The 19780-nt window shown below is 38.5% G+C and overlaps 1 protein-coding gene across 5 annotated transcripts in view, besides 1 other annotated feature; it reads left to right on the forward strand.

Moving 5' to 3' along the window:
• Positions 1–19780, forward strand: part of TRAPPC11 (trafficking protein particle complex subunit 11) — a 54297-nt gene that overhangs the window by 23259 nt on the left and 11258 nt on the right. For all 5 annotated transcript variants that reach the window (XM_024454180.2, NM_021942.6, NM_199053.3 and 2 more), the window contains 16 exons: positions 181–274; positions 1424–1503; positions 1594–1672; positions 1754–1808; positions 2145–2290; positions 2533–2594; positions 2720–2852; positions 4067–4197; positions 8765–8920; positions 10409–10596; positions 11038–11186; positions 11366–11487; positions 12053–12172; positions 14952–15017; positions 15128–15284; positions 19146–19257. In XM_024454180.2, coding sequence (XP_024309948.1) covers positions 181–274; positions 1424–1503; positions 1594–1672; positions 1754–1808; positions 2145–2290; positions 2533–2594; positions 2720–2852; positions 4067–4197; positions 8765–8920; positions 10409–10596; positions 11038–11186; positions 11366–11487; positions 12053–12172; positions 14952–15017; positions 15128–15284; positions 19146–19257 — 1850 coding nt within the window. The remainder of the gene's footprint in view (positions 1–180; positions 275–1423; positions 1504–1593; positions 1673–1753; positions 1809–2144; positions 2291–2532; positions 2595–2719; positions 2853–4066; positions 4198–8764; positions 8921–10408; positions 10597–11037; positions 11187–11365; positions 11488–12052; positions 12173–14951; positions 15018–15127; positions 15285–19145; positions 19258–19780) is intronic.
• Positions 10662–11861: an enhancer, noted in NCBI's record as "BRD4-independent group 4 enhancer chr4:184614366-184615565 (GRCh37/hg19 assembly coordinates)". NCBI's record gives its function as "activates an origin of replication core promoter dependent on BRD2, P300/CBP, MED14 and CDK7 cofactors, and independent of BRD4, by STARR-seq in HCT116 cells {active_cell/tissue: HCT116}" and the evidence as "EXISTENCE:reporter gene assay evidence [ECO:0000049][PMID:35650434]".

The following is a 19780-nucleotide window of genomic DNA, read 5'->3' on the forward strand; positions in this document are numbered from 1 at the left end:
GAAACATTTTTAGCTTAATTTTTGTTAAAATTTATGTTAAAATATTCACAAATTTGATAATTGAATATATATTTGGTGGTTGTATTTATGAAAACTTTTTTGTTCAGTCAAAGGTTGGGCAAGAGTTGATTTGCGATGAGTTCCATAAACTATTATTTAGGTTTGTGTTTTAATTTACAGGCTTCTGTAATGTATCCCAATCCTGATCCCTTAGAAACACAAACAGGCGTTCTTGACTTTTATGGACAAAGATCATGGCGACAAGGAATACTAAGTAAATAATTTTTCCCTCTGTCCTTTCCTCTCAACCTCAAAAGGCAACAATAGCTATAATAGATTTTCCATTGGCTGCACATGCATAAGAAATTATGTTGAAGTAAAAATGTGTGCTTTTTAAACATTGTTTTTGTTTTTAGAATGCTTTGTATGTATCACTGCATCTTAGAGTGACTTATAATTAAAGTTGCTGTTGTGATTAAAACATGTATCTGGGTGTGGTGGCACATGCCTGTAGTCCCAGCTACTTGGGAGACTGAGGTGGAAGGATCACACCTGTGAACAGCCACTGCACTCCAGCCTGGGCAGCATAGTGAGACCTCATCTCAAAAAAAAAAAAAAAATACAACATTTGGACATCTGTTGTTTTAAATGACACATGCCACTGTTGTCTTATTTAAATATTTTAATTCCAGTTAACTTTTAACAATTGATTTGACATTTTAAAACAGCATTAACTCATATTACCTTAAAAACAATTTCTCTGCATATTTTTTAATACTTTATACGTAATTTAATTCAAGCAATTGAACTATAACTGTTAAATTACTGGCTAGGCGAGGTGGCTCATGCCTGTAATCCCAGCGCTTTGGGAGGCCAAGGTGGGAGGATTGCTTGAGGCCAGGAGTTTGAGACCAGCCTGGGCAACATAGTGAGAACCCATCTCTACAAAAAAATACAAAAATTAGCCACACATAGTGGCATGTGCCTGTAGTCCCAGCTACTTGGGAGGCTGAGATGGGATGATCGCTTGAGCCTAGGAGGTTGATGCGCAGTGAGCTGTGATTGTACCGCTGCACTCCAGCCTGGGCAACAGAGTGAGATCCCGTCTCAAAAAAAGAAAAAAAGGAAATGATTATCTCCAGCAAGTGTATCCTCTATAGAGGATGATATTGACATTGCTTTTCAGATCGTTGATTCCAGTAGGTAGAAGAACATTGAGCTCAATAATGTTCCCATCAGAACAGAACACGGAAGTTTCCATGTTAATAAAGCTGCCTCTTAGCACCTTTACGATTCTAGAATGTTGAAGAGTCTGAAATGATTATATTAAATAAAGGTTTCAAGGAGTGTACACATACAACGTTCATATGAAGATTTATATTAAATGAGCTGTCTAAAATGAGTTGTGTCTCATCTTACGCAGGTTTTGATCTTTCTGATCCTGAAAAAGAAAAGGTGGGAATTCTTGCCATTCAGCTGAAGGAGAGAAATGTTGTTCACTCTGTAAGTTTTGTGTCCAATATAAACTATTTTTTACACTATTTAAGAAAAATATTTGTATTGAAATGTTTCACACTCTACTTTTTCTAATAGGAGATAATCATAACTCTTCTGAGCAATGCTGTTGCACAGTTCAAGAAGTATAAGTGCCCGCGAATGAAAAGTCACCTAAGTATGTATCCACAAACGTCACCATTGCATGCAACTTTGAATGACTTTAAGTTACATACATAAATCTTTTTTTCCTTTATAGTGGTTCAGATGGGAGAGGAATATTATTACGCAAAGGATTATACCAAAGCTTTGAAGTGAGTCCTGTTCACTATTTACTTTTACAAGTATTTGGATTATCTGAAGTGAAACTGAAATAGAAATCAGTGTTGAAGGAGTTCGTATTTTCATATTTATTTCTATTGTTGTTAAACTCCATTTCTGTAATGTTTTTTTCAAGTGCTATTGATGGCACAATCTTTTTCAGTGTTTTAAGAAATCTCACGTTTAGCTAAATATGAGAATACCTGTTCAACCATCTCAGTAAGATTTTTCTATACTTACATAAAATGAGGAAAGTATTTTTTTCTCCATGAACTCTTCGAACCCTTTCTTGTGAAGCCGGTTCAGTATTACATTTTGTCTTCTTTGAGGTTGCTGGATTATGTGATGTGTGATTATCGGAGTGAAGGATGGTGGACTCTGCTCACTTCTGTATTAACTACAGCTCTGAAGTGCTCCTACCTCATGGCCCAATTAAAGGATTACATTACTTACTCCCTAGAACTCCTTGGTAGAGGTAACCTGATGTTTTTTGAGTAAAATTCTTGATACATAAAATTATTTAGCATCTTTAAGCTTTTTAAAATTTAAAGAATAATTTAGTCCCAGATAATTAGTATACTTTACTATGTGCAAATCACTGTGCTTAGTCATCTTAAAGAGGTATTTATTATTATATCAAGTTTCTAAAACAATAAATGGGGGTAGTAGACTTAATTATAAGTACTTAAAATGTTTTTCCTTCTTTCTTCATACTAGCTTCAACTCTGAAAGATGACCAGAAGTCTCGGATAGAAAAGAACCTCATAAATGTTTTAATGGTAGGTTGGAATTGTTTATATAGAGTGTGTTATTAGGAATATGTGTACTTATATCTATATCAACTAATCCAAGTAGTGGTTTTTATTCAACTAGTTGAATGGATGTTAACTCTGTGTTGATGCAGAATGAAAGTCCTGATCCAGAACCCGACTGTGATATCTTAGCTGTGAAAACTGCTCAGAAGCTGTGGGCAGACCGAATTTCTCTGGCTGGCAGCAATATTTTCACAATAGGAGTACAGGACTTTGTGCCATTTGGTAGGTAGCTAACATCTACAGTACTATTTCAGAGAAATTGTCTTATTTCTACAAAATGAATAGGTGCAGAATAATAAATATAAAAGTCAAGAAAGAGTTTTCAAAGTATAATCATGTTATAGATAAACTGATTTTTTTTTGTGTCCCCTCAGTGACTTACAAAGGTAGTTAGGATCTTAAATACTTGACTTATGTTTTAAAATACACTTTGCTCATTTGTAGTTCAGGTGTTATTAGAAACACCTGACAGTTATTTAAAAGGTTGTGCTTTACTGTCTAGGTAGGTATTTTGAAATAATAATAAAATGGTTCTTTTTCATTTAAAATCTTGTCATCTACATTTCAGGAGCAGCTGTGTTTTTAAAATTAAAGATGGTTTTGAAGCTGTAATTTATTTAAATTTTATTTTATATTATTTATTTGTTCATTTATTTTATTTTTCTTTTTCGAGACAGGGTCTCACTCTGCCACCCAGGCTGGAGTGCAGTGGCATGATCTCAGCTCACTGCAACCTCTTCCTCCCAGGTTCAAGCGATTCTCCTCCCTCAGCCTCCTGACTAGCTGAGATTACTTATGGGCGTGTACTACCATGCCTAGCTAATTTTTGTATTTTTAGCAGAGATGGGGTGTCACCATGTTGGCCAGGCTGGTCTTGAACTTCTGACCTTAGGTGATGCACCCGCCTGAGCCTCCCAAAGTGCTGGGATTACAGGCACGAGCTACCATGCCTGGCCTATTTATTATTCTTTTTGAGATAGAGCCTTGCTCTGTCACCTAGGCTGGAGGGCAATGCTGCGACCTCCGTTTACCACAACCTCCACCTCCTGGGTTCAAGTGATTCTTGTGCCTCAGCCTCCCTAGTAGCTGGGATTATAGGTGCACACCACCATGCCCGGCTAATTTTTGTATTTTTAGTATAGATAAGGTTTCACCGTGTTGGCCAGGCTGGTCTCAAACTCCTGACCTCAAGTGATCCGCCTGGCTTGGCCTCCCCAAGTGTTGGGATTACAGGCGTGAGCCACTGTGCTCAGCCTAAATTTTATTTTTATAATAAAAAGTTAGCTCATTTGTCTCTTGAAGTGCCTTAAGTGCAGAAGTCAGTAAGAATGGTCAGTGCAGATGTGTCTTTCTGAAGAATCAATTTGGTTAACAGGATGTGTGTGGGTCGTGGGTATCTGGTTGTGCATAACACAGCCCTTTTGTTTTATTTCTAGTGCAGTGCAAAGCCAAGTTTCATGCCCCAAGTTTTCATGTTGATGTTCCTGTTCAGTTTGATATTTATCTGAAGGCTGATTGTCCACATCCCATTAGGTTTTCCAAGCTCTGTGTCAGCTTTAATAATCAGGTAATGATGCCATGTCATGTGTTTTTACCACGTTTATCTTATTGTAGCTTATGTTAAACTAGATAAAATGAGCTTAGTGAATTTTATGTCTTAATGGTTTCATAGTAACAAATGAACTTTGGTAAGGTCTATTCAAAAATATATCTCCAGGGCCGGGCACAGTGGCTCACGCCTGTAATCTCAGCACTTTGGGAGGCCGAGGCAGGCAGATCACAAGGTCAAGAGATCGAGACCAGCCTGGCCAACATGGTGAAACCCCGTCTCTACTAAAAATACAAAAAAATCTGCTGGGTGTGGTGGCACGTGCCTGTAGTCCCAGCTACTTGGGAGGCTGAGGCAGGAGAATCACTTGAACTCGGGAGATGGAGGTTGCAGTGAGCTGAGATCGTGCCACTGCACTCCAGCCTGGTGACAGAGCAAGATCTGTGTCAAAAAATATATATATATATATGTTTCTAAACTTCTAGCAATTCAAGTTTACACTTTGCTTACTCCAATTTTTGTTTTCACTCCATGTTTATAAAGTCTTAAGAATTCTCTGTGTGTGTGTGTATATATATATATATGTACACATATAGTATATATATACTTTTTTTTTCTGTCTTTTTTGAGACGGGGTCTCGCTCTGTTGCCCAGGCTAGAGTGCATTGGTGCAATCATAGCTCACTGTAGCCTCAACCTTTTGGACTCCCACCTTAGCCCCCTAAGTAGCTGGAACTACAGGCACCTGCCACCACGTCTGGCTAACTTTTGTATTTTTTGTAGAGACAGGGTTTTGCTGTGTTGCCCAAGCTGGTCTTGAACTCCTGGGCTCCAGTGATCCACCAACCTCAGCCTCCCAAAGTGCTAGGATTACAGGTGTGAGGCATCACATCTGGCCTTAAATTTTTTTTATAATGTATACTTGAATTCCAAATAAGGTATATTCAGAATGAATAGAATTAAAAAAACATTTGGTTTATATTTTACTTCAACATTATTAGTTAATGTTATTAGTTTATGATTATGGAACTAATTTATGTTTGACATTTAAAAAATTGAAATGGAATAGATGGATATAATGTGAAAAGTAAATGTGTGTCTTCTTTCTTCTCCATTCTCCCACACACCCTCTACGTTAACTTCTTGAATAACCTAGACATTTTCTGCACATGAATATATAAGCAACTTTTTTTCTTGCAGAATTGGGATCATATTTCCTGCATTTGAATATATTTGAAGCATTATATAGTATATAGTCAAGTACTTCATTACAACTCTATTATAAACTCACTTAGTAGATAATCATCTTTTGATTACCCAGAAAGTATAGTGAGTCTTTCACCAACAAGCATTTATTGAGAGTTACGATATTCTTAACATGCTGAATCTGAGTATAGCATATGTCGACCTCATTAAAATTTAGGCATTTTGGGGACAAGGGCCAGGACAGAATCAAAGATTGCCCAAATAGGTAATGAAGACTAAATTACGTAGTGTAGGCTAGAAAGAGGGACAGCTGTAGTAGGCATGCCAGAAAAAAGGGAGGGAGTTCCAAGAATGAAGATGAAATTACGATAGGTCGAAAAGATGGAGGGGGAGAACATGTTTGGCAATGAGAAAACACTGCATGGAAACAGAAGCGCACAATCTGTGTTTCTGGGAAAGTCACACCTCACTAGAACAGAGGGTTTATAATGCTGGGTGGTGGGAAATAAGGCCAGGTGGCTTAAAGGAACCTGGAAGAGTTAAGCGGGGATAGGCTAGTAAACAGATGTCTTTGAAGATTTATTTGTTCTTTTGTCTGTGTTCTATTTATTGGATGGTGATAAAGAAACGTTATCTGTTTTATTAGGATTTGATTCATAAGAAAAGAGAAATATCTCTGTAATAGAAATGATTAGATGAAGCTGGGTCACCTGAAGATCAGTATGTTCTATTCAACTTCAGACCCTTGCCCAGGGATTTCCTCTAATCCGTTTGAGAATTTTATTTTAGTGTGTGTGCGTGTGTGTGTGTGTGTTTGTGTGTGTTTTGAGACAAGGCTGCACTCTATCTCCCAGGCTGGAGTGCAGTGGCACCATCTTGAGTTACTGCAGCCTTAGTCTCCCAGGCTCAAGTGATCCTCCCACCTCAGCCTCCTCTGAGTAGCTGGGACTACAGGCACATGCCACCATGCCCAGCTAATTTTTGTATTTTTTTATAGAGATGGAGTGTTGCTCAGGCTGGTCTTGAACTGCTGGGCTCAAGGAGCCCACCCACCTCAGCCTCCCAAAGTGCTGGGATTACAGGTGTGAGCCATCATGCCTGGCCCAGTTTGAGAATTTTAAAGCAAGAGCATGCAATTTATTCTTAAAGTTTTAAGAAACTTTATTCTAGTAGCAAAATAGAAATAATATCATGGAAGCCAATTAGAGGCTCTTTATATTAATCCATGTACAAAAGTACAAGTATCGGAATTGAGTTGCTGGTGTTGGGAATGGAGATTCAGGGATATAAGAGGCATTTAAAAATAGATAAATCTGGATTGCCAAGTGCATATAGCGGCTGAAAAGTGGGGATAGGATGAATGAAGGACAGGAGGTTTTGTACATGCCCTTTCCTCTGCTTGAATTGGTTTGCCCTCCTCTCCGACTACTTCATTCCTTCTTGCCTTTTCTCACTTAAAAGCATCACTTCTTCAGGGAAGCCTCCCCTGACTTACATGACTGAATCACTTAGCCAGGCTCTCATAGCCTTGGTAGTACTAATCACACTGTGGTTTCACCGTTGTCTGTGTGATTATTTGGTAAATTACCTGTTTTTCCTTACTGGAATCTAAGCTCCACAAGGGCAGAAGGGCAGGGGTTTTTTTTGTTTGTTTGTTTTGTTCATTATGAAATTAGAGGGTCAACACAAGGACTCTTTTTTTTTTTTTTTTAAAGAGATACTTTGTTGCCCAGGCTGGAGTGCAGTGATGTGATCATAACTCATCTCAGCCTCAAACTCCTGGGCTCAAGTGAAGTATGGGGACTCTTATTTTACTTTTCCCTTAATAGCCTACTATTTCATTTCTTTTCTTTCCTTTTTTTTTTCAACAAAAAATATAAGCTACTATAATTAAAAACTAATAACGCTAAAATGGAATATAAAGCAATTAGTTTTAAAATTTAGATTATATTCTGAATATATCTTATTTGAAATTTAAGATACAGGCGGGGCGCAGTGGCTCACGCCTGTAATCCCAGCACTTTGGGAGGCCAAGGTGGGCGGATCACTGGAGGTCAGGAGTTCAAGACCAGCCTGGCCAACATGGTGAAACCCCATCTCTACTAAAAACCCAAAAATTAGCTGAGCGTGGTGGCGGGTGCCTGTAGTCTCAGCTACTTGGGAGGCTGAGGCATGAGAATTGCTTGAACCTGAGAGGCGGAGGTTGTAGTGAGCTGAAATTGCATTTCTAGTGGGCGATGGAGTGAGACTCCGTCTTAAAAGAAAAGAAATTCACAATATAAACCATAAGAAAAAAAAAAGTAGAGTAGTTTTTATAAGCATGGAATAGAAATGAAAATTGGCGGGAAAGTATAATACTTGAACTGTGTAAGAATTTCTATGAAGGTAATTTATATGCTGGAATAGAAGATGGCTCTTGGAAAGGTCTTGATATTTATTGAACAGATGAGAATAGTGATTCCATAGATAGAAACATGAAAGCTGTCTTCCTTTACTCATCTATGAGGATTGTTCTCTTCTGGGAAGGCAGATGCACATTCACTTTGGGACGTGCTGAGTTTCAGTGGTAGTGGACTTGTCCTCTAGACAGTTGTGGATATAAGCTTGTAATTAAGGAAATAAGACAGAATAGGACAACTGTATGTGAGAGATACTAGCAACAATGGTATGGTGAACGTGGAAACAAATACATTTCCAATGAAGTGAACAGAGAGAGAAATGAAGACCTGAAAGAAAGCAAAGGAATGGGGCTGGGCTTGGTGGCTCACACCTGTAATCCCAACACTTTTGAAGGCTGAGGCAGGAGGATCACTTGAGCCCAGGAAGTTTGAAACCAGCTTGGGCAACGTAGTGAGACCCCATCTCTACAAAAAATAGAAAAATTAGTCTAGTGTGATCGTACATGCCTATGGTCCCAGCTACTTTGGAGGCTGAGGTGGGACTATCCCTTGGGTCCAAAAGGTTGAGGCTACAGTGAGCCGAGATCATGCCACTGCACTCCAGGTAGGAAAAACAGGAAGTAACCAAGCAGGATGAGAAACAGGAAAGATTATAGCATCACAGAAGCCAAGTAAAAAAAGGCTCTTCAAGAAAAGGAGGTGATAAACAGTAGTGTCCAGTGCAACAAAGAACAAACTGTTTCTCTGGGAGAGGGATAGCTAAATATTTTCAGAAAACAGTTTATGTGTAGTGAACTGTTATATTATGGCAGCAGTAAGTGGATAAATGCCTCTATTTGGCATAAAAAATACTTCCTTTTATTAGTAACCCTTCATAATGCTTCAGTGTTTGTGGAGTTATACTAAATGAGCTCCAAAGCACTTGGCATTTAGGGTTAGCAGACATCTGACATTTGATGACCCCTGTTCACCTTTTTCAGGAATACAACCAGTTCTGTGTAATAGAAGAAGCATCCAAAGCAAATGAAGTTTTAGAAAATCTGACTCAAGGAAAGATGTGCCTAGTTCCTGGCAAAACAAGAAAACTGTTATTTAAGTTTGTTGCAAAAACTGAAGATGTGGGAAAGAAAATTGAGGTTAGTTATGAAATTTGTTTTAAAATATTTTTAATAATAAAAGTATGTTTATATCAATATTTTAAATAATACAAAAGTTGATTAAGTAAAAAATGAAAATCTGCTACTTGGACTTCCTAAAGGAAACCATTCATAATAGTTTGGGAAGTTTCCTTCAGACATTTTTCTGTGAACATACTTGTAGTTTAAAATTTTTTGCAATTAAAAAATTGAGAATATACTGTACATAATAAACTGTAGCTGGCTTTTGTCATTTAATAGTGTATATTAGATATTATTTCTTGTTAGTATATAAACCAATCTTGTTTTTTAATGACCACATAATCAGTTAAGGAGTTTTAAATAATGTATATTATGTAATATAGCAAATATATTTTTTATGTTATTCAGACTGAATATCTTTTGATGTTTAAGCATTACTGAGTACATATTTTTAAAGAAAAATGAACATATATATTTGTAAAGATTGATATAGTATAGATAATTGAAATGCCTTTTAGAAATATAGGATCTAAGTAATATCTTTATTGAGCATAAACTCTGGAGCCAAACTGTATGGGTTTAAATTACAGCTCTCTAGCTTATTAGCTTGTGGCCCTGGGCAGTTACTTAGCTTCTTTGTGTCTCAGTGTATTCATCTGTAAAATGGGGATCATAAGAGTACTAATCTCTTAGGATTTCATGAGGATTAAATCAGCTAGTTAATGTAACTTGCTTGGAATAGTGATTAGCACACAGTAAGCATTCATTAAGTGCTTGTTTTTCATGACTTGAATGGGAATGGTTAGCTCATCTAAACTTGGGACCATTGCTAAGATAAATGGCATATAAAGTTATACAACCAGTGTTCCCATAACAGTTTCTGTGAACATGTTGCTTTTATTATTTGCTTATTCATTAAAAAAAAAAAAACTTTCATGATTTTGACTAAATGCCCTAATTGCATATTTTATTTTTTCATGGTACCTAAGGGAACCTACCAGACATAAATAATAATTAGTAATTCTATTTTGAGTCCTTTTGTTAATGGTTTTAGTTGAATAGATCATGTATTCAATTAATAAAGCATTTTATTGCTAATACTGTAAATATTTTTGAGAAAAATATTTGTGGAGTCGGAAATGAGGTTATAATGTATCCATAGCCATCACAATACTTATTTCATTCAGCAACCACTAATTGAACCTTCATTACATCAGGGACTATGCCAGATGTTAAAATCATAACACTACTGTGCAATCAGCCTGTCAACAGAAAGTCAGGTTAGTGTCTCTGTTTTAAAGGTGAAGAAGTTGGAACCCAGAGCGCAGTTAGTCTCTGTCCCAGCCCGAGTAAGACCTCTAATAGCAGGTGTTCTCACTTCTGTCACACTGGGGGTCTCTAGATGAACTCCATGGTCTTAGCAGTCGACGATGTAATTTTGGTGAGAGGAGATGGTGACAAGCACATATGAGATGACATTTCCAACATCCTTTTTTTTCTTTTTAGATTACTTCAGTGGATCTTGCTCTGGGCAATGAGACGGGAAGATGTGTGGTTTTAAATTGGCAGGGAGGAGGAGGAGATGCTGCTTCCTCCCAAGAAGCCTTACAGGCAGCTCGGTCTTTCAAAAGGCGACCTAAGCTACCTGACAATGAAGTTCACTGGGACAGCATTATAATTCAGGCAAGCACAATGTAAGTCTGCTTTGCTAAGCTGATATTAAAGGTCATCCTCTTATTTCTTTTGCTATTTTTTTTGGAGACAGAGTCTCTCTCTTGTCCAGGCTGGAGTGCAGTGGTGTGATCACGACTCACTGTAGCCTTGACCACCTGAGCTCAAACCATCCTCCCACCTCAGGCGCTACCCTTGCCTTCCCCAGTAGTTGGGACTACAGCCAGGTGCCACCATGCCTGACTAATTTTTGTATTTTTTCTAGAGATGAGGGTCTTACTATGCTGCCCAGCCTTGTTTCAAACTCCTGGGCTCAAGCGATCCTCCTGCCTCAGTCTCCCAAAATGCTGGGATTACAGGCCTGAGCCTCTGCACCCAGCCTCTTATTTCTTTTAAATACTTTATTTGAATAATTTATTTGCTTTTTTTTTGATCAGTTACTTAGCTAAGGTTTCTTTTCAAAGGATCATATCCAGAGTCCCAAACATTTCTGTACATCTGCTACATGAACCCCCTGCACTGACTAATGAAATGTATTGTTTGGTTGTGACTGTTCAGTCCCATGAAAAGACCCAAATCAGAGATGTGAAGCTCACCGCTGGCTTAAAACCAGGTAAGCATTCCTTTTTGTAAGTTTGATCAGTATTAATCCAACATTAAATAAGCATCAGTGATGTCAACTCTAGGACTTTTGTTTACAAGAGGGTATGGCATAGTGCTCTTCACACAGTATTGATTATTGGGATAATGTTTGAATTCTTTGTTTTGAAGAACCAATATTAACTCTTTTAGGACAGGATGCCAATTTAACTCAGAAGACTCACGTGACTCTTCATGGAACAGAACTGTGTGATGAATCCTACCCGGCTTTACTCACTGACATTCCTGTTGGAGACTTACATCCAGGGGAACAGGTAAACTTGGTCAACTGGGATTGAAGAGGAAATCAATTAGTTTGTAGTTTTAAATATATAGTGAGTTTTTAACAGTTCAGAGCGTTTTAACGCATATTCTAGGACTGAAAAAGTGATTTAACTAATGAACATTTCATACACATTTTACATACGTAAATGTGTAAAATGTCTTAAGCAGTTTTTCTACAAGGGAATTTAGAAAACATGCTTAACATGAATTAGTGGGCTAATAAAATACCCATTGTTTGTAACTTAGTGCAGTTAACTTCTCAGTCAACTTCTGCTTCCAAACTAGATAGAAAAATATTTTGGAAGTTAAAGAACAATAATTTCTAAAAGATGCAGTAGTAATGATCCCACCCTTATACTGTGGCCACAGTGTAATCAGAGTACTCTACTACAGTGGGAGCATTGATGAGTTACATTGTAACATTCTGTAAAAGTGATAAAGAATTTAGCCAGTTGGTATAAATAAACTCTAGAAGGTGGGAACATTATCCTAGAATATATATCAAGAAGAAATGTCTGTAATACTAATTAAATTACAACATTTATTTTGTTACAGCTGGAAAAAATGTTGTATGTTCGCTGTGGAACAGTGGGTTCCAGAATGTTTCTTGTATATGTTTCTTACCTGATAAATACAACCGTTGAAGAAAAAGAAATTGTTTGCAAGTGTCACAAGGTATTTTTTTATAGCTACTTTATAAAGCATCATATGTGGAGTATTCCCATTTTGTGTTATTTTAGTTTACCTATAAAATAAGCATAAAATAAGCAGTTTAGGTGCTTATAGTCTGTTATAAATTTTAATTAAACTTTTTAAAAAATCACTTATATTGAGATTTGTTTAGGCTGGCATTCACTGCTCAAACATTAAACAGAAAATTAGCTTATATGGCTTTTCTTTTTTTTTTTTTTTTTTTTGAGGCGGAGTTTTGCCCTTGTCGCCCAGGCTGGAGTGCAGTGGCACGATCTTGGCTCACTGCGACCTCCACCTCCCGGGTTCAAGCGATTCTCCTGCCTCAGCCTCCCGAGTAGCTGGGATTACAGGCATGCACCACCACACCCAGCTAATTTTTTGTATTTTTAGTAGATACGGGGTTTCTCCATGTTGGTCAGGCTGGTCTTGAACTCCCAACCTCAGGTGATCTGCCCACCTTGGCCTCCCAAAGTGCTGGGATTACAGGCGTGATCCACTGGACCCGGCCTATATGGCTTTTCGTATAGAGGATCAATAGGATTGAGATCTCAAGCAAATCACACATGAGATAAAATCTGTAAGTTGACTTACATATAGAGGGTTCTGGAGAAAAGGAGGTCGCCCTTTGAAAGGCATTTTTCTGTTATTAAAAAATATTGGTAAAAATTGTTTTCGGTAAGTGCACATAAAAGTGAAAATAGGAACGATCACGGTTACAGTTCACAACTCGAAGGCAACTGCTAACTCTTTGTGTTTCTTATTGGTCTCTTTTCTATTTCTAGAGATTTTTAACAGGCCATGTTTCTAAATAGATTCAATTGTGCTGTATATAATGTTTATGTTCTCTTTTGTTAGTAGAACATTATGATATTTGGTATCTTCTTGGTCCTGACAGTAATGTTGTCTTAGTTTTCTCTTAGGAATTGGGTCCTCAGCCCAGCAGAGGAGAAGGCCTATAGCAATTTGGGGATTTGTAGTTTTGTTACTGCACAGAGTCTGGGCTGTGGGCTATTTACTAGTCATTGGGAAAGAAAACCATCTCAAAATTATTAGTATTTCCCAAGCGGGAGAGAAGAAGGCATGTAATGTACTGTTGAAAATTTCTCATAGCCTGGTATAATACATAGAGTCCTATATGGTAGCTTAGGAGATAAGGGTGCCAATCTCAGCACATTATATGTATTATCTCATTTGATTTTTCTAACAAGCCTGTGAGGATTATGAAACTGGGACTTAAAGAGACTGCATGAGTTGAGCATCCCAAATCTGAAAATTCAAAATCCAAAACGTTCCAAAATCTTTTGGAAACTTTTTGAGTGCCAGCATGACACTCAAAGGAAATGCTCCCAGGAGCATTTTGGACTTGGAATGCTCAACAAGTAAGTATAATCCAAATACTCCAAAATCCAAAAAATCTGAGACACTTCTGGCCCCAAGCATTTCAGATAACCTGTATAACTTTCCCAGGGTCACGTCATTAGGTTCAAGGTCACAGAGCTAGTAAATATGTATTGAGCCAGGATTAGAATTCAGCTCTGTCTGGCATTACAGCCTGAGCTTTTAACCAGTATGATCTTTTTTAAAGGTTTCTTACCAAGAGGTTGTGTTATTTGTTTTGAAAGATGAAATAACCCCATGGTTTTTTTTCTTCTTTCTTTTATTTTTTTATTTTGACATGGGGTCTCACTGTGTTGCCCAGCTTGGAGTGTAGTGGCACGATCTTGGTTCACTGCAGCCTCCGACTCCTGGGTTCAAGCAATCCACCCATCTCAGCCTCCCGAGTAACTGGGACTACAGGTGTGCACCACCATACTCAGCAGATTTTTTATATTTTTGGTAGAGACAGGGTTGTGCCATGTTGCTCAGGCTGGTCTTGAACTCCTGAGCTCAAGCAATTTGTCCACCTCAGCCTCCCAAAGCTGGGATTACAGGTGTGAGCCACCATGCCCACCCCCCCATTGTTTTTCTAACAGACTCTTTTAGAAAGGAGATGTAGCATGTTGGTTAAGAGTGTAGGCTCCATGACCTCATCTTAAAGTGGCAATCATAATAGCACTTGTTTCCTTGTGTGATTATGAACATTACATAATACATGTATACGGATGATAGCAGTGTCTGTCACATTACATTATTATTATCTTTCTTATTAGTCATTTTGAGTTGAGGTGTAGTAGGAACTTAGACAAAAGGAAGACCCTAGCTTTGTGGAACGTCTGATTCCTCCTCTGCAAAATGGTGATGATGCCTGCCCTGCCCACTTCATTAGATCCAGAGATAAATAATGTATAAGAAAACACTTTAGCCAGGTGCTGTGGTTCACTCCTGTAGTACCAGCACTTTGGGGTTCTGAGGCAAGAGGATCACTTGAGGCTAGGAGTTCAAGACTAGCCTGAGCAACATAGCAAGACCCCATCTCTAAAACCATAAAATACGGTAGCCGGGCGTGGTAGTGTGCTCCTGTAGTCCCAGCTGCTCAGGAGGATCACTTGAGCCCAGGTGTTCGAGGCTGCAGTGATCTGTGATGGTGCCACTGTCCTCCATCCTGGTTGCCAGAGTGAGACCCTGTCTCCCAAAGGAAAAAAAAAAAATTAGTACTCAGTTCTCTCGACACAGATTTTTACAAATGTTATCTAAAAGGCCTTTACTTCTTAGTATGTATAATTTGGGATTATTTATTGATCAGTGATAGGTTGTGTTTTTTAAAACTTTATATAAAAAGATTTAGAAAATCCATGAATGTGCCCTTTACATTTTCTTGCAGGATGAAACTGTAACAATTGAAACAGTCTTTCCATTTGATGTTGCGGTTAAATTTGTTTCTACCAAGGTATGTTTCTTTGAGGCATACTAGAAATCATTTAGGTTATAAAAATGGACTGAAATGATAAAATGGATTAAGGTAATTCCTGACAGACCTTTTATCTTCATTTGTGACAGTTTGAGCACCTGGAAAGGGTTTATGCTGACATCCCCTTTCTGTTGATGACGGACCTCTTAAGTGCCTCACCCTGGGCCCTCACTATTGTTTCCAGTGAGCTCCAGCTTGCTCCATCCATGACCACAGTGGACCAGCTCGAGTCTCAAGTGGACAATGGTGAGTCTGGTTCATTCCCACTTAAAGACCAGGAGAATTGTGCGCGCGTGTGTGTGTGTGTGTATAAGCTGGCAATGGAAGAGTTAATTAGCTTTTTGCTAAGTGAGGGAACTTGAGACCTGCACTCGTGAAAGCAAATGCATATGGAATTAAGGTGGAATTAGTGTCATTTATAATACCATTTGCTTGAGTATACCTGATTTTAAAAGGTTAGACTTTTTTCCTACTCTAAGGGAGTTATACTTTGAAAATGTACTTCACAAAAAGAATTTTTTTTTCATTTTTGAACTTTTTAAAGATTTTTTTCTCATTAACTCTTAATGTTTACTGTTTTTCATAACTTGAAATGAGAAAAGGTATTTATTAAAGAAACTTTGGAAAATATAGAAAAATAGAAGTTACATTTTCTGAGTCACCCTACTAAAACAATTTGTAAGACTGATTCAAATCCAGGACAACACCTTTCTGGTTTTAAAAAGTACTAATAATATCTTTTGCTTTCAGAATGTCTTCATGAGTTTTTTTTCATCTCTCCTTGAAACTCGGTTTTCTCTTGTGTGTTTGGAAATCATTGTCTCTGTCCTACTTTGTTTTTCTGTCTCCTTCCCTTTTTCCTTATTGTCCTTATTGTGCTAATTGGGAATAATGAGCTTTAGGGTCAGACTGAACTAGATTCAGTTCTCAGCCCTACAACTTGTTCTTTCATGAACTTGGATGGTTCCTTTCATCACTTCTTAGAGTCAAAGAGGATGATGTATGTGAAATAATTAATATATATGAGAACATATGAAATAGCTCAGTGCTCATTTTCTAACAGCTCAATAAAAGCTTGTTATTTGTCCATTCTTGCTGATTCCTTTTCTTTCAGTGTTGGTCATTTCCAGTATCCTGACGTTGGTTCTCTTGTTCTTTCTCTACAAGTCTTCAGCTGCCACACGACCTTAGGCTGCCTGCATTCCCTCGTCCAGTTGGAGGGGTTGTCTGGTTGTAAGGGTTGTTGTACGTACACTTGATCCAAGCTGGAAACTGCAGAGAAAAACTACACTCCTTCACACGCACATCTATCCTTCACACCCACATCCAAACATTTTTTTAATCCAGCTTTTCATCTCCATCCTCAGTGCCATCCTCACCATTTCTCTCACCTGGTCTATAGAAGTAGGTCCTTAACTGTTTTCTTCCTTGGCAGTCATTCTCTTCCCTATCCTGCCTTTCATATTGCCACTAGACTTTGTGACACACTGGACCTCACCTGGTCAGGCTCTGGCTGACCTTCCCAGCTGCCTCTACCCCAGGCTGTCTACTGCCCTTTGCTCTCTCCCAGGTTTCAACCAAGACAAACTTAGGGCATTCATCCAACATTGCCCCCAGCTACTTTTGAACATATCTTTGGAACTTTTGTGTAAAACCTTCATCTTTTTCAACCTGTTGAACTCTGGCTTGCTCTTCAGGGCTCTTGTAAACTTGAACTTCTTGTTCCTCCCAAGCAGGACTAAGTACTCTTCCTTCTTTATTCCCATGGTGTTTTGTACACACCTACATTGTAACACTTACCATATTATATTGCAATTTCGTATTTGTAAATATGGCTCCCTTACTAGACTGTGTGTTCCCTTAGAACCTGAGTTGTGTCTTATTCATCTTCATATCGCTAGCATCATAGTACTTAGCTAATAAGTGTTTACTAAATTAAGGAATAATCTGTGGCTTGAACTTCTAGTATATTAGTTTCTTACTGCTGCTGTAACAAACTACCACAAAGTTAGTGGCTTAAAATGACACAGATTCAACTGTATTAAAGTTCTACAGGTTAGAAGTCCAAAAAACAAGGTGTCAGCCTGGTTGCGTTCCTTCTGGAGGCTCTCAGGGAAAATCTGTTTCTTTGCCTTCTCCAGCTTCTAGAGGTCACCTGCACTCCTCCTCATGTGGCTCCTTCCTCTGTCTTCAAAACCAGCAGGTAGCACTTCTTTGTCACAAATTGACCCTAATGTTAATTGGTTTTTTTTTTTTTGAGACAGAGTCTCTGTCACCCAGGCTGGAGTGCAGTGGCACGATCTCGGCTTACTGCAAGCTCTGCCTCCCGGGTTCATGCCATTCTCCTGCCTCAGCCTCTCCGAGTAGCTGGGACTACAGGCACCCACCACCACGCCCGGCTAATTTTTGTATTTTTAGTAGAGACAGGGTTTCACCGTGGTCTCGATCTCCTGACCGCGTGATCTGCTCATCTCAGCCTCCCAAAGTGCTGGGATTACAAGCGTGAGCCACCACGCCCAGCCAATGTTAATTATTAATAAACATTGTGACCGTTTTATTTAACTTCTTACAATTAAGGAGAACTTTGGTAGAGTTTAATATGAATGGCCCAGGTTTTTTAAAAGACGATCTCTAGAGGCTCAAACTGATGTGTATTTTATTTACTGGGCTACAATATCATTTCCAAGTCTTTAACATTACATAAAAATACTTAATTAAAGCAAAGGTTGATCCAGCTTTTTTCCCTTTCACTGTTGTTATCTGTCCACAATCAGACCTCCATTGATCTGTCACAACCATCTTCATTAGAAAACCATAAAAATAGCCTAATGTTTAGAAACTTTGTTGTTATTCCTTTGGAGTTGCACTCACAGATTGCTAAAATTGCCGTTAAATATGTACTGTTGCCTGCTTGCATTTGAAGCTGAGGCATTGCAGGCTCTGGAGAGCTGAAAGGTGGAGGAGACTTGGTTTGAATGGGCGCTTATCTTGTCATCAGGGAATTTGCTATAAAATTGGCAGAAGGAAAGCATTCTTGCACAGAGGTGAATGGCCATGTGAGGCAATAGTGAGGCGGTATGAGTGCTATTAGTAATACAGGCTGAGTATCTCTTACCTGAAGTGTTTGGTACTAGAAGTGTTTCAGATTTCGGGTTTTTCAGATTTTGGAATATTTGCATTATACTTAGTGGGTGAGCATCCCTCATCTAAAAATCTGAAATCTGAAATGCTTTAAAGAACATTTCCTCTTTTAAAAAAAAATTTATTTTCATTTTGGAGCCAAGGTCTCACTCTGTCACCCAGGCTGGAGTGCAGTGGCAGGATCATGGCTCACTGCAGCCTCAGACTTCTGGGCTCAAGCTATTCTCCCACCTCAGCCTCCCAAGTAGCTAGGACCACAGGTGCACGCCACCACACCTGGCTAATTTTTAAATTATTTATAGGGACGAGATCTCCCTGTGTTGCTCAGGCGAGTCTCAAACTCCTGGAGCTCAAGCAGTCCTCCCACCTTGGCCTCCGTAAGTGAGATTACAGGTGTGAGCCACCACACCTGGATGCACTTCCTTTTAGAATAACCTTTGCGTGTCATGTTGGCACTCAAAACATTTCAGATTTTGAAGCATTTTGGTTTCAGATTTTTAGATTAGGGATGGTCAACCTGTATATGTTTACTCAGAGAAAGCCACAATTTTCTGGAATGATATTTTGAGTACTTTAAGAGTAACTGAAATTTTCTATTTTCTTTTTCTCTACCCCAAAGTGTTTACTTTGGAGGCATGAAATAATTTGGAAAAAGAAAAACAATCACCGTAAGATATTGATTCTGTCTCTAAGCTTTTTGCATTCATTAGTTTCCATAGGACTTTCTTGCAGATATACAGATGCCTCATTGGATTTTACTGTGATGGAATATTGGTACATTAGCAAAAACAGTGGACTTTGTGACCTTGAAAAAGTCATTTAACATCTCTGAACCCTACTTTCTAAGTCTCTACAAGTAATATATAGTGGGTGAGGTGTTCTTTCTTTGTTCTGTTACTTGGATGTGAAACTCTCCTTTTGTAGATGAAACCATTGCATAAGGAATATAAAGACTTTTCCCTGTAGTTATCTTACAGACTGGAGAGAGTGCTAGTGAATGCTTTTGTCTTCAATGCCCATCTCTTGGAAATATTGAAGGTGGAGTAGCAACCGGGCATTATATTATCTCTTGGAAAAGGTAAGAATTATGTCAATCCTGTCTTTTCTTCAATGTCTCTGTTATTCTCATACCTTTATTATTCATCTTTGTCACTTAATATTTGAGAGTTTCTGTCATTCTGAAGAGCAGAAGTCATGTGGATATGAACACAAACCTGAAAAAGATAATTAAAGCTGAATTTGTGCTTGTCGTAATTTGTGACTTATATGCTATTAAAATTTTAGCCAAACTAAATCTGTACACAAAGGGTGTATGTATAAGAATGTTCATGGGCTGGGCGCAGTGGCTCCCACCTGTAATCCCAGCACTTTCGTAGACCTAGGTGGGAGGATCGCTGGAGCTCAGGAGTTTGAGACCAGCCTGGGCAACATGGTGAAACCCTGTCTCTACAAAAAATACAAAAATTAGCTTGGCTTGTTGATGCACATCTGCAGTCCCAGCTACTCAGGAGGCTGAGGGGGGAGGATGACTTGAGCTCAAAAAGTGGAGGTTTCAGTGAGCTGAGATTGTGCCACTGCACTCTAGCCTGGGCAACAGAGCG

Source organism: Homo sapiens, chromosome 4 (genome assembly GCF_000001405.40).
Source record: "Homo sapiens chromosome 4, GRCh38.p14 Primary Assembly".
NCBI classification, from domain to species: domain Eukaryota; kingdom Metazoa; phylum Chordata; class Mammalia; order Primates; family Hominidae; genus Homo; species Homo sapiens.